We start from the raw sequence: 13,881 nt of genomic DNA, 5'->3' as shown, positions 1-13,881 counted from the left end.
ATCCATTAATCTGCCAATGGCCATTGGGTTGTGTTCATCTTTTGACTACTATGAATAATGCTGCTATGAATACGGGTGCTTAAATATCTGCTTGAGTCCCACTTTTGATTCTTTTGGGTGTATACCCAGAAGTGGAACTGCTAGAGCATATGCTTATTCCATTTTTAATTTTTTGGGGGAATTGCTGTGCTGTTTTCCATAGCAGCTGTACCATTTTACACTTCCACAAGTAATTGAGTTTTCTGTTATAACTGAAAGATTTCTCCCTGACACAGATTTTCTATCCCTGTCCCATTGCCAACTGTCACTCCCCGAGAAGCACCTTCTGTGGTCTATTGAAATAGTTTACCCTAGCTGTAAATAGACATGTCAACGTTGAGGATTTGCCTGGGTGTAGTGTGCTTCTATCTCCCACCAGTTTTCAAGAGTGGGAGGTGGGCTAGGGTGAGAGCATGCCATGCTGTTAGCTAAGCAGTTCCACTTTTTAACCCTTGCTCCTAATCATGTTGACCCCCCTTTTTTTTTTCTTTTTTGATACAGAGTTTTGCTCTTGTTGCCCAGGCTGGAATGCAATGGCACGATCTCAGTTCACCGCAACCTCCACCTCCCAGGTTCAAGCGATTCTCCTGCCTCAGCCTCCCGAGTAGCTGGGATTACAGGCATGCACCACAATGCCCGACTAATTTTTAGTAGACATGGGGTTTCTCCATGTTGGTCAGGCTGGGCTCGAACTCCCAATCTCAGGTGATCCTCCTGCCTTGGCCTCCCAAAGTGCTGGGATTACAGGTGTAAGCCACAGTGCCCGGCCCATGTTGACCACCTTTTAACCCCCTGTGGGGGTCTCTTTGGAAAGAGTTCTGTACAGATCACTAACTTTGGTAGTTATGAGCTCCCAGAGGAGCTCCAACACTTCTGACTGTCTCTGCACAAGTGTCCAGCCCTGCACTGGCCCGCAGGACCGATGTTCCATCACTCATTCCTAGCAGAATGGAGGAGTGAGTGGGAATGATGCCTAAAGCCACAGAGGGAGGCCCTAAAAACTTCTTGGATATTTTTAAATAAGGAAGATTGGCTGGGCATGGTGGCTTACACCTGTAATCCCAGCACTTTGGGAGGCCGAGGCAGGTGGATCACCTGAGATCGGGAGTTTGAGACCAGCCTGACCAACATGGAAAAACCCTGTCTCTACTAAAAATACAAAAACAAAATTAGCCAGGCGTGGTGGTGGGTGCCTGTAGTCCCAGCTACTCGGGAGGCTGAGGCAGGAGAATGGCATGAACCCAGAAGGCAGAGCTTGCAGTGAGCCGAGATCGTGCCACTGCACTCCAGCCTGGGCGACAGAGCGAGACTCCATCTCAAAAAATAAAATAGGGCAGATCTCCATTTGTCTGGGTAAATTCCTCCATGAAGGAAAGGGAAGGTAGGAGGTGGGCTTTAATATCTCATCAAGTTCCACTACAAGCTCTGGCTTTCTCCGATTATTAACTTGTGCACAGAAATGAGAGGTCTGAGAACCAAAAGGCTCGGGGTCAAGTGGGAGATATCATGGTGAGCAAGGTTAGGCTTTCCTCAAACAGAGCCATCATCATGGGAAGAAATATATTTCTCAAAGAGCAGAAAATAATTTGTAGGTCTTTAAAAAAGTTCAGCCTAAAACATAAAAGTGAGAAACTGTATCAAGATTCAAAAGATAAGGGGGTTGATTTAAAATCCTGGTTCCCATCTTCCGTGTGTTCTGACCTCCTTAGCCTTGTATTATAAACACACCTGTTGGTCCTACCTGTGGAAAGAGGTGGAAGCAGGTGGGGATGGATGGGGGAAGGGAGCCTTATCAGTTGTCTCTTTTTCCATTGCCACAATCCTAGTGTAGTTGGTAGTCCCTCCCCTGGAGCTCCTTAATTTTTAAGCAGTAGCCTTCTCTGCGTTGTCCTCCATTAAATGACAGTGAGTGAAAGTGATCAATACACTGCAGAGCTATAGAAATATAAGGTTGATCCAGGGTGGTGACTAAGAGGGCGGCCCTGGAGTCAGACTGGATGCAAATCTTGCACTATTATTTATTTTCTATGTGATTTATGCAAATAGCTTCTCATTGCCTCAATTTCCTTTTCTATAAGATGGGATAATAATACATCATAGGTTTGTTGTGGCAATGAACCCATGTTCACTGCCACGAATGACTGAAAAAAGCTGCAGTAAGTTCTAGCCAAAGTACTTCTGTGTCCTGAGGGGAAAGCAAAGTCACTGCAGGATTCCTGCTTTCTCTTTGCTCTCATGACATCCAACCTACCTGCCCGGGACCCACATACAAACAGGATGCGTTGTCGTGGCAGCCGCCTGCACTGGGCAGCAGGCAGTTGTTGATCTCCGAGCAGTCTCTCCCATTCCCTGTCCAACCCTGCTGACACACGCAGGTGTGGGTGCCCGTGCCAGTTTTGATGCATTCTGCCTGCAGGAGGAAAAGAAAAAGCAAAGCCTCTGAATCCTCAGTCCAGCCACATGATTCCAAAAATAAGAGAGAATTTCCAGACATATGTTCCAGAAACACAGATTTGCATTGAGTGAGGTGGAAATGCTTAATTTACATTGAGATTCATGAAAAGATTAGGTCATTTAAAGAACAAAATTGCTTGGAACTGGCCAGCTCATGGCCACTGACATCACTGTGTTAGTTATTAAGCCAGGGACTGTTTATATTGTTTTGCAGGTGTAAACCATCATCTTGAGGAAAGTATTGTTATTATCTCTATTTTACAGCTAAGGAAACAGGTGTTGCCCAAGGTCATGCAGCTATAAAAAGACATGAACCCGGGCCTGTATAATGTGGCAACCCAAACTCCACTATACTAGCTCCCGGGCCTCTCAGGAGGAGCCTCACCAGGAGGCTGGAGGACAGAATGAGAAGGAGAGAGGGATACAAGATACGGAGCTGAGGCTGAGGGGGATGGGGTTGGGATGGGGCTCACTCAAAGGGAATCAAAGGAATCTGTAGGCTGGGGTCAGGTGGTTTCATCTAGATTTTATCCTCAGAGCCAGAGGAAATTACTGAAGGGGCTTAAACCTGAAAAACATGATCTGATTCACTTCAAGCCACTCTGGCTGTGAGTGGACAATGCACTGTGGGTAGATAAGAGGAAGCAAAGAAACCAGTTACTAAACCATAGGTAAGGAATGAAGGTGACTAGGGTCAGGTGGGGATGGCGATCATTGAAGGGAATTAGTGAAAGCAATGGTAGGTTCTGGATACACCCCTACCAACAACAGAACTTGGTCACTTGACTCCCCTAGATCCCAGTTTCCTAATCAAGTAAAATGATCACTTGAGCCCAGGAGTTTGAGGCTGCAGTGAGCTATGATTTCACCACTGTGCTCCAGCCTGGGTAACAGAGTGAGACCCTGTGTTAAAATAAAAATTCAAGGTTTAAACACAAATGCTTCATGCATATGAAAAGTGATCAGACATTGACCTATGGAATGTCTTTCCTCAGGATTTCCTAAAAAAACCCAAACAATCAACTGAAAAAAGCCAACAAGAAACCAGGCAGGGCTGGGCGCGGTGGCTTAGGCCTGTAGTCCTAGCACTTTGGGAGGCCAAGGTGGGCAGATCACGAGGTCAGGAGTTTCAGACCAGCCTGACCAACATGGTGAAACCCTGTCTACTAAAAATACAAAAATTAGCCGGGGTGGTGGCACGTGCCTGTAATCCCAGCTACTCGGGAGGCTGAGGCAGGAGAATCGCTTGAATCCGGGAGGCGGATGTTGCAGTGAGCCAAGATTGTGCCATTGCACTCCAGCCTGGGCGACAGAGCGAGACTCTGTCTCAAAAAAAAAAAAAAAAAAAAAGAAACCAGGCAGGGTGGAAATGAAGACCAGTACTCACATTGCGGCTACAGCCTCCTGGAGTTAGTCCTGTGCAAGGGTCCATCTCAGAACACAGAGTTCCATCTCCTTCATATCCTGCTTTGCAAATACAACTGCAAAGGAGAGTGTGCAATATCAGCCCCAGAATAAGCACCAACGACCCAGAAGAGAGCCAGCCAGCTAGAGATGAGCCAGTTCCTGGCCAAATGGCTCCATCCTTTGCTCCTGTGGAGGAAGCCAGCGCTCAAATGTGGTCGGGGTACTTCTGGGATCTGTAATCAGATACACCTGGGTGGAAATGAAGCCTGCCCACTTCTTAGCAGTTGTGTGACACTGCACGAGTCCCTTAACAACTGAGAGATCTTATTTCTCATGAGGAAAATGGGCCTAATACCTCCCATATAAGGCTGAAGGTTAAATGAGCAAATGCACACTGAGCGTTTAGCAGAGCGCTTGCAGATCATAAATCTCAACACCTGACAGTGTCTCTGCTCTTATTTTACCAGAACCTGCCTTTTTATAACTCTTCCTGCTCAATACTAATTATTACCTCTGGTTCAGCAAAGAAGAGTTCTACTCTGTCTTCTATGCAACAGCTCTTAAAATATTTGAAAATGACAATCAGGTGAGACTTATCCTCTCCCATTCTCTGGCCCCTCAGAGGTTTTTTCCCCCAACACCACATTTTCAAGTGCCTCTTCTGTGAGCTGACTTGGTTTCTTGACCCATTACCTTTCCAGACGCTCCTCTCAAAATGTTCCGTGATGACACTTTTACTATTAAAGGTGGCCCATTCATTCATCTATTCAACCAATATTTGTTGAGTGGCCTATGATAGATGCTGGGGACATTGTACCCCCAGGTCTTACTGCAAATTCAGTCATACATGCCTTACAAAAATTAAAAAAATATATATTTCATGTATCAAGCTTCCTACAGGAACAAAATACATTATCTAGTGTCCAAATGAAGAAATAGGTTGATCTGTTCCAATAATGTTTGATTTACCTAAGACAATATAGTTCATACAGACCCATGCCGACAGTCCTCTGTGGATGATTTCATAGGTTTCAGCGGTAATGTTGATTACATGTAGTTTTGCCTTATGCACCGATATAGATCCTAACTCCTTAGGAAAAGGCATTTCTATTGTACAACTGTGGAAAAGAGACAGTCTCTTGTCTCATATAGCCTATAGTCTAGTGGGAGAGGCAGACCAAAACAAATAACTATGTAAACAAAAATTAAGAAAAGCAGTGCAAGGAGAGGACCAAGAATTCCAGACATCCTCTGCATTTCCCAGGATAATTTAGGTGGTTACTGCCTTGGAGCTAGGTATTTCCAGAGAGGTAAATTTCCTCTGGCATTTTCCCCCTCAAACCCACTGCAGAATGCTAGACAGTATTAAGGAAACAAATGGCAACCTACTGATTAAAGACCCAATTTCCTGCAAGATGCCTTTAACAGGGGAGCAATTATTAACAGCCTTAAAAAGTAAAGGTGTCTTCAAAGGTTAGAAAGTTGGTGGACAAATCTTCATTTCTTTCATATGTGGTGATAATAATTATCTTTTCCATAATGGAACATCTTTGATGTGCTAGCCCCGGTGCTAGGTGATTCTGCATTGAGTTCTGCTAATCTCCACAACTGCCCTGCTTGGTAGGTATCATCATCCTCACTGTACTGTTGAGGAAAGTGAGGTTCAGAGAGGTTAAGTAACTTGCCCACAGTCACACACCTGGTAAGTTTCAAAGCAGGGAGTGCTGCAATTGAAACCCAGCTCAGACTGAGGTTCTTTTCACAAACACCACACTGTCAGCTGGAGATAACAGGCCTCAGTTCAGAGTTCAGATATGGGTTGGCTCCGTCTACAGGTAACACAGCGTCATTAAGTGCCATCCCCTTACACTTAATGACTCAGCGTCATTAAGGGCCATTCCCTCACAGACCTACCTGGCTGTCCCATTGCTGTATTCACAGGTGGCGTGGATGTGACAGAACTGCACGTAGGGCCCACAGGCTGAGGTCTGCTTATCACAGAGTCTCCCGGCAGAGCCGTCTCTGCATGTGCCAGTGAGGCAGGCCCCATCGCTGTCTATCCTGTTATTGCATGTTCCGTGAACGCACAGGCATTCTGAAAGAGGAGGAGGAGGGACATCCGTCCAGGCCTTGGGGACAAGCCAAGCACTGAGGCAGAGCACCCTGGAGGACAGGGACCACCTCTTCTCACCCCCCACTCACTCTTGTCAAAGCAGAATCGGGGCTGAGCCGGGAGAAGACTTAGGCTGCTATTTCTTGGAGTCTCAAGTGTTCTCAGAGTGCCTGGGACAGCCCTGGAGAGCTTGCTTGTCCCACCCAGGAGGGGAAGAACTTGGTCTCAGAACTCCTTTAAGGCTGAGCATGGTGGCTCATGCCTGTAATCCCAGCACACCGGGAAGCTGACGTGGGAGGATTGCTTGAGCCCAGGAGTTTGAGACAAGCCTGGGCAACATGGTGAAACCCTGTCTCTACAAAAAACACAAAAATTAGCCGGGCATGATGGTGTGTGCTTGTGGTCCCAGTTACTGCAGAGGCCGAGAGGTGGGAGGATCACTTGAGCCCAGGAGGTTGAAGCTATAGTGAGCTATGACTGCACCTCTGTACTCCAGCCTGGTCAACAGAGTGAGACCCTGTCTCAAAAACAAAACAAATAAAAAAAAAAAGAAAAAAGAACTCCTTTTTATCTATATGTGTGTGGGGTGTGGGGAAGAGGATGTGACGCTTTGAAAGAGGCCAAGGAACTCCATTTTCAACTACTTCCTGGTTGGAGAGTTTAGCCTGGAAATTTCTCACCTTTCATGAAGATATTCTGGAATAAATAGAAGTGATCTCCCATGCTGGCAGGACTCCTGATAAGTAGCTAATATGTTTGTTTTTCACTCTATCACATCAAACCAATGATAACCAATAGGCGATATTTGGGCACTGACTTCATTCAAGGCACTAGGTCAGCCTTCCACATGCACCATCTCATTAATAGTCACCAGGCCCAGAAGGTAGGTACTTTTATATCCCCCATTTTTCAGATGAGGAAGCTGAGGCCCAGAGAGAGGAAGCAAGTTGCCCAACTTGCTGCTAAATTCCCAGGCAGAAACTTAAACCAGGATTCAAAGTCCATTTCCGTTCGTGACTGTGTAAACACCGTAGATCATTATATGAACTGGCATTTCCATATCACCGTTATCATTTTAAACCTTAGCTGCTGAATTTGCTTTCAATTGTAGGTATTTAAAAATTGTAACACGGGCCACCTCATCAGACTCAGGTTCCTATGCATGTGAAAGTGGAAAGAAGGACATGGAGATTTTCAAAGGCACCTGGCAAGGACTGGGGGGGCTTGGAAAATGATCAGAAATAAAGGAATCTGGAGTTTCACCCCAGAAGGGACTCATGGGAGAGGAATTCGTGTGGGTGCTTGGAGCCATCATCCAGGAAAGAGAACAACACAAGTGAGCGGGCCTGGAAAATCACAGCCAGACTTAAAGCAAAAAAGAATTGTTATACAATTTTAGGGAAGTCAGCATTTAATTTGCAAGGTACGAGACCCCTGTATGAGACTGTGCACAGCCGTAGCCCTGGATTGAGAGGTGTGACAGCTGGAAGGCCACCGCCCCATCCCAGCCTTGGTGTCCTGCCCGGCTGGCCTCAGACAAATGCCAACATTGTCAGGCCTTGGGATAAACCCTGATTTTTTTCTTCCTCTAATATGAAAATCTAATTTGGCAAAAAGAACATTGGAAAGGGTTCAGTAGCCTCGACCCTGATGTGCTCTGCTTTCCCATCCATCCTGAGAGTTATTTGTGAAGATCAAATAAGGTAGGAGAGCGGAAGGGTTGTGTGTTTCATAGGAAATGTGTGGAGTTAGTAGCGACAGTAAGAGGAGCGGCTTTGCTTATTGATGACTTGCTCAGTGCAAGCTCTGTGCCAAAAGCCCGAAATTATGGTCTAATTTAATCCTGTCAGCAAACTATAATGTAGGTACCACTATTATCTTCATTTTATAGGTGAAGAAATAGCCGTTTTCTGAGATCAGACGGTTGGTAGGCTGGAGTGTGGGGACTTCAGGATGGTCTGACTCCACAACGAGCTGTTAGCTTAGAAATATATGTCAAAAATATACATATGCTTATTTAAATATATACAGGATGTCATTTTAAAGAACAGAATGAGGGAATGCATTTTCTGAGGTTGCATAACTTTATTTTTTTCAATGCCTATTGTGGTGGAACTTTCTACATGTTCTACAAGCTTCTTGATATTTATGTCACTGTACTTAGACTAACAGCAACAACAATAGATAAAAATAGTGAGATAATAATATTTGTGGCACATGTTTTGTACTAGGCATGGTTCTAAGGCAAGCGGTTTCCATTTATAAGTTGTACTAACTTTAAAAGACACTTGCTATTTTCATCATCCCCATTTTACAGATGAAGAAACTGAGGCCTAGAGAAGTAGAGTAACTTGCCCAAGGCCACAGGCCTTGCAAATAAAGGAGCTGATGGAAGAGGTCTGCCTGAAAGGTAGGGAGTGAATCTGATTCTTTTTTTTTTCAGATGGAATCTCACTGTCACCCAGGCTGGAGTGCAGTGGCTCAATCTCAGCTTACTGCAACCTCTGCCTCCTGAGTTCAACCATTCTCCTACCTCAGCCTCCAGAGTAGCTGGGATTACAGGCACCTGCCACCACACCCTGCTAATTTTTGTATTTTTAGTAGAGATGGGGTTTTGCTATGTTGGTCAGGCTGGTCTCAAACTCCTGACCTCAAGTGATCCACCCACCTCAGCCTCCCAAAGTGCTGGGATTACAGGTGTGAGCCACTGTGTCTGGCCTGAATCTGTTTCCTGATATAGAGCCCACTATCACTTCAAGAATGTGGAGAAACTTTTGGAGAGTGGTCTTCAAAGTGTGCTTCCCAGACCAGCAGTGTTAGTGCCCCCTCGGAACTTGTTAGAAATGCAAATTCTGAAGACCCATTGGGGCCTAGTGAATCAGAAACTCTGCAGGTGGGGCTCAGGGATCAGCCCTCTGACACACGCTCCAGTTTGAGAACCAAAGCTTAATGAATGCTCTGTGATGATGGTGTAACCCAAGCAAAGGGGTCCTGAGACACCAGCCCTGCACCAGCACCCTGCTGCAGCACGAGAGGGAACCTTGCTTAGGAGTGGAAGGAAGCTCTGGAAGTGCCACTTACTTTTGTTACACCGAGGTCCGTATTTATTGGGATCAGAGCAGAACTGACACTGGGAGCCTTGGAAGCCCTCCTCACAAATGCATGTCCCGTTGCCGCCGAGGCTATCTGCACACTGGGAGCAAAGGCAGGGCCCATGGGCCATTAGGACACATAGTTCTCAGGTGTTTTCATTTCATGGCCTGACTTCTTTGAATTCAGATTAAATCCCACTTGACATGACCCTCTGGGACTCCTCGTGGAAAGTGGAGTCATGTGATATCAGGGAGGCTGCTAAAGCAGTGCCGAGCTTGGGAATCCCAAGCCAGGATTTAGAACTTTAAGGGAAGTCACTCAAGGGGGCATCACAATGCTGAACTGGGAACCTTTCAACAATGCTTAAGGGATAAGTGATAAGACAGGGGCCTCCAGAATGAGTGACTAGCCTCCCTTTACAGTCTCACCTGCTCAGCTCTGTGACTCCAAACTGCAGTGTTTTCTCTCTTCAGTGGTAAACATATTTGCCTCCCACCTCTCTAGCCCTGGCAAGGTCATATGTGTGCTGATTGACATCAGTGTTGGGTGTGGGCCCTTTCTAACCCCTGGCCGCAGTCATTTGTACTGGCCTCTCCCTATTCTCCTTGTCCACATGGTGTCCCCACTCATGGCTGATACTTTCCCCTTGAAAAAGCCACGTTTTAGAGGCGGGCTTATTAAATGCACAGATGTATAATTTCCCTGTATGAACCACAGCTACTTTTGCCTCCAAGCTAGATGAGTTAAGTTTCGGCTGTTACATTTCACTAGGTTTTGCTCATAGGTTCAAAAAAGCAATCAGGAGGCAGAGCTATTTTTTAACTATCATAAAATCTTAGTTCTGGAAGGAGTCTTGAAGATCAATGCAGGTCAACCCTGATATCTCCCACAGGAGGAACGTGAGGCCCAGAGATCCTTCTTGAGTTACCCAACGTCCTGCAGCCCGCAATAGAGAAGCAGACTAGAGGCAACATTACCGGAATCTCTCTCTCCCATCCCCCATCCCAGACCCAGATCCTTCTACTGCAGACACCTGCTGTTCTTTTAGTAAGGGGTCATTTCTTTTGCTTCCTGGGAAGAGTAGCTGGCATTATATCACATTTTGGTTTAGAAGTTCTAAAAATTATTGTTTGATTTGACTTATGGAAGGCCAGTCTTCAGTATTCACCTGTCCATTTCCTGAGCATGGATTTGAGAAGCCTCCTGGACACTGGTTGCAGTCAGGTCCATAGAAGCCTTTGCAGCACTTTGGAATCTGAAAAACAAAATGCGTGTTCCCCTTTGAACCCCCAAGTAGAGCACCAATTCCTCAAAGGGGATGCATTTTAATTTCCATTATTATACTAAGCCATATTCGCCTCTCCTTATGAGGTTGCCCTTTTCTTTGGCAGTTGATGGCATGGCTAGTGCTCAGTCATCTGGTCACCACAACTCTACTGAGCCCCTCCCCTGGGTGCTGGACTGGCTCTAACACTGTGCGAACAGACAGAGGAAGGCTCATGCTTGTGGAGCCAACGTTCTAAGTTGGGGAAGAGTCAATGTATGAATTTTAAAAACAGTAAAACAAGATCATTTCAGAGAACGGTGAGTGCTGGGAAAACAAAGTATTATCATCCAGTGGTGGCAGGTAGGGCCAGAAGTCAGGTGGGTACTAGGGAGGCCACTGCAGATTGGTGGTGACAGTGCTGGTTAATGGAGACACTGAAGATGAGTTAGCCTCAGGGAAATCTGGAAGAGCATTCAGAGGGAGGGAATGGCAAGTGTGCATGCTCTGAGGTAGGAATGGGGGTGACAGGCAGGTCAGAGCCACAGGCAGAGGGTGGGCCATGTGGGGAAGTGTTAAGAGTGTGATCTGTGTTAAGAGGGTAGGGAACCATGGGAGGCTGTGATGCAGGAAAGGACAGAGTCTGGCCACCATATGAAGAATCTACCTTTGATTCCTCTGCAGGAAGACAACAGCAAGCACGGGCCACCTGTGACCACGTGGACCCTAGGACCCAAGAGCATGGCCCTGGAGCTGCCTGGCCCTACTGGCCTAGACTGGGCCTCGGCCACGCGCTCCTCACCTTCACAGTGGCATTGCAGTACCGGGCACAGCCGCTCTTCAGGCTCCCAAACCTGCCACTGTAGACACATCTGTGTGTGAAGAGTGCCTGGAGAAAGCCAAGGAGGGAAAGCATGGCAGTCAGCATGTTTAGGTCCTCCAGGCACTGCACACCCTCTGCAGACACTTGCCATTGTACTTCCATTTCACCACTGACGTCAGGAGAGAGTGCTGGACCACACTAGCAGACCTGGGTCTACATCAGAGCTTGGACACCCTTTTTTAGGCCTGTTCCCTTGTTGGTGGAATACAGGCCAGAGTTTGCATCATCCATGGCCCACAGATCTTTATTCCCTCTTCCATGCCACAGCAGATGTCTCTAAGCAGAAAATATTTTCTGTTCATTCTGGATACGGTCTAGTCTCCCCTTCCGATCTATAGCCATCCCTAAGATCTCCTACAGAGACATTTTGGAGCCCCCAAAGGGTCTATCTACACTTCATTGAAAGGTTTGCCAAACAAAATTGTGATAGTCTGAGTTTTTCTCTTAGGAGTGGGGCAGATTTATATGCATCCTTCCATTCTAACCAACAATGCCCACTCATAATTATCTAGAACTCATGTTTACTGAGAACATTTTATGGGCCAGACACATTGCACAGATGAGTTCATCAATCTTCAATTCTATGTGGATGTTTCTCATGCCATTTTTTATAGATAAGGAAACAGGCCCAGACAGGTTAAATCATTTTTTCCAAGAAACACTGATAGTAAGTATAAGGTCTAGAGAATGGGTCTTATCACGTACAGACTTTAGGATCACAGTCATGTAGCCTCTGTGGGCCTCAGCTGCCTAATTTATAAAATATCAAGAAAATATTGATGAGACAATAATGCTGATTTCAAGTTTTGTCACGAGAATTTAGTCTCTGGTTCAAATTTTGTTTTAGATAATTGTTGATGTCAAGCTTATCCCTTCATCTTAGGCTGTTGCTCAAGAAGAGGGCAATGAGACTTTCCTAGGCTATAAAATCCTAAAATATTAGCTATATGAAGGAATTCTGAGGTCACTGAGGAAGGAGCACTACAGTCCTTTTGGGAATCTCAGGATAATTAACCAGGTGTGGGTCACAGGATTCCCGGGATGGGTGATTTGAGGGCTTCTTTTGGCTCCTACCCATGTGTCTAATTTCCCTTTCTTTTCCCTCTTCCTTCTCTTTCCCTGGGCTGAGACAATCATAGAATGGTGATTAAACATGTAGAACAAATCATGGTTCTGCCACATCAGCTGTGTGACCTTGTACAAGGTGGTTTACGTTTCCTTGCCTTAGTGCCCTAATCATACATTGGTTATGGTGATAATATACCCACCTCGTGGGGCTGCTGCATAAAGCATTTAGAACAATGTCTGGCACACAGCAATCACTGTGACACCAGCCAACACAATTTCCTCTTCTCCTCCCTCTCACATTCCCTGCTTGACAGCATCCTGAAGGACTCAGGGGTAATGCCTTTGTTAAGCAAAATAAATATCTGAACACCTGCATCTATTTAATTTTAATGTTTTGCTTTACTAAATACTTCACAATAGAATCACATTAAAGAGCTCATAACCTTACCTAATGATCTATTCTAGTGTTTAATGCCACTTCTCATTGGTAAGTTCTTTCTTATGATAAACTTATAGGCAAAAATTTCTATCATCATTTTTGCCTTAGAACACTTTGCTTTTTACCACCAATAGAGTCCTTGGCATATGAATGATAGATCATTGCACAACTGTTTTCCTTTTTAGATGGAGCTTCTCAGATAAAAGCAAAATGAAATGATTTCTTATTCATCCTCATGCCTCTGGAAGCAAGCACTATGTCTGATATATGCTCAATCCTCAATAAATGTGTACAGAATTCAATTAAACTTGGAAGCTTTTGATAGTCCCAGTATTATTTTCTTGTATGTCTCTGCAGAAGAGTGCTTGGGAAGAACAAATATTAGGACTTGTTTACAGACAGTTCTGCACAATATGCCAGTACCACCCAAAAGTGGACATCTATAATATTACAGTCCCAAAAGGGAAAAAGTAGATGGGAACTGAGTGCCTTCTTGATTTAGATATTGTGCTTCAATTTTTATCTATGTGAATCTTTTTGTTATTATCATTTACAGATGAAGAAACAGTAAAAGGGTTAAACGACTTCTCTAGGGTCAATGAACAAGGATTCAAACACAGGTCTGTGGGATCGCTTTCTACCATCCCCCATATAGTAGGCTACGAGCCCATCTTATATTACCCCAGCTGCAATTAATATCTTCTAAAGAAGGAAGGTAGATAGGTTGAGAAACCACACCAGTGGGGCTGCTTGGGTGATCTGTGCTTTCATGAAGCTGTCACACTCACTGTGGGCTCAGAGTTAGCAGGACATCTGCTCCAGTACACCAGAGAACAGCTCACACAAGTGCCCTGGAGGGAGAGACAGGAGGTCAGTGCAGGTGTCCCTATGAGAGGGAGCAGTGGCGATGGTCCTGTGGCTGGTTTCATGCTTCCCTCCCTGTGAAGGAAACCCCACTGAGCCATGATCCTGGCCTCTCTACCCACCCCCTCCCCACACCGACTCCACCGTGGGAGAAGGAGTGAAGTCAGCGCTGGGGGTGGGGGCTGGTGGGAGGAGTTTAGGAGAGAAAACTGAGCCTGCTCAGAGCAGCCCCCTTTTTTACTTCTTTCAGAGCCAGC

The 13,881-nt window shown here is 45.7% G+C and overlaps 1 protein-coding gene and 1 long non-coding RNA gene across 9 annotated transcripts in view; one reads left to right on the top strand and one right to left on the bottom strand.

The window, feature by feature from the left end:
• Window positions 1–13,881, bottom strand: part of STAB2 (stabilin 2) — a 179,447-nt gene that overhangs the window by 86,818 nt on the left and 78,748 nt on the right. For 7 of the 8 annotated variants that reach the window (XR_007063104.1, NM_017564.10, XM_011538537.3 and 4 more), the window contains 7 exons: window positions 13,549–13,611; window positions 11,173–11,259; window positions 10,275–10,361; window positions 9,095–9,206; window positions 5,815–5,995; window positions 3,881–3,974; window positions 2,291–2,449 (listed from right to left, as the gene is read on the bottom strand). Coding sequence is in view for 7 of the 8 variants with exons in the window: in NM_017564.10 (NP_060034.9) it covers window positions 2,291–2,449; window positions 3,881–3,974; window positions 5,815–5,995; window positions 9,095–9,206; window positions 10,275–10,361; window positions 11,173–11,259; window positions 13,549–13,611 (783 nt within the window). In the remaining variant the exon portion in view is untranslated. Of the gene's footprint in view, window positions 1–2,290; window positions 2,450–3,880; window positions 3,975–5,814; window positions 5,996–9,094; window positions 9,207–10,274; window positions 10,362–11,172; window positions 11,260–13,548; window positions 13,612–13,881 lie in introns of those variants that run through there. The other variant, XM_011538541.2, reaches the window with a different exon arrangement.
• LOC105369946 (uncharacterized) lies at window positions 9,492–12,696 on the top strand. Its single transcript, NR_188417.1, has 3 exons — window positions 9,492–9,581; window positions 10,498–10,690; window positions 11,055–12,696. It is a non-coding gene; the product is annotated as an uncharacterized LOC105369946 (long non-coding RNA).

The sequence above is a fragment of the Homo sapiens genome, chromosome 12 (genome assembly GCF_000001405.40).
Source record: "Homo sapiens chromosome 12, GRCh38.p14 Primary Assembly".
Lineage (NCBI taxonomy): Eukaryota > Metazoa > Chordata > Mammalia > Primates > Hominidae > Homo > Homo sapiens.
The sequence above is the reverse complement of the archived record's forward strand: the minus strand, read 5'-3'. Positions and strand labels throughout refer to the sequence as shown.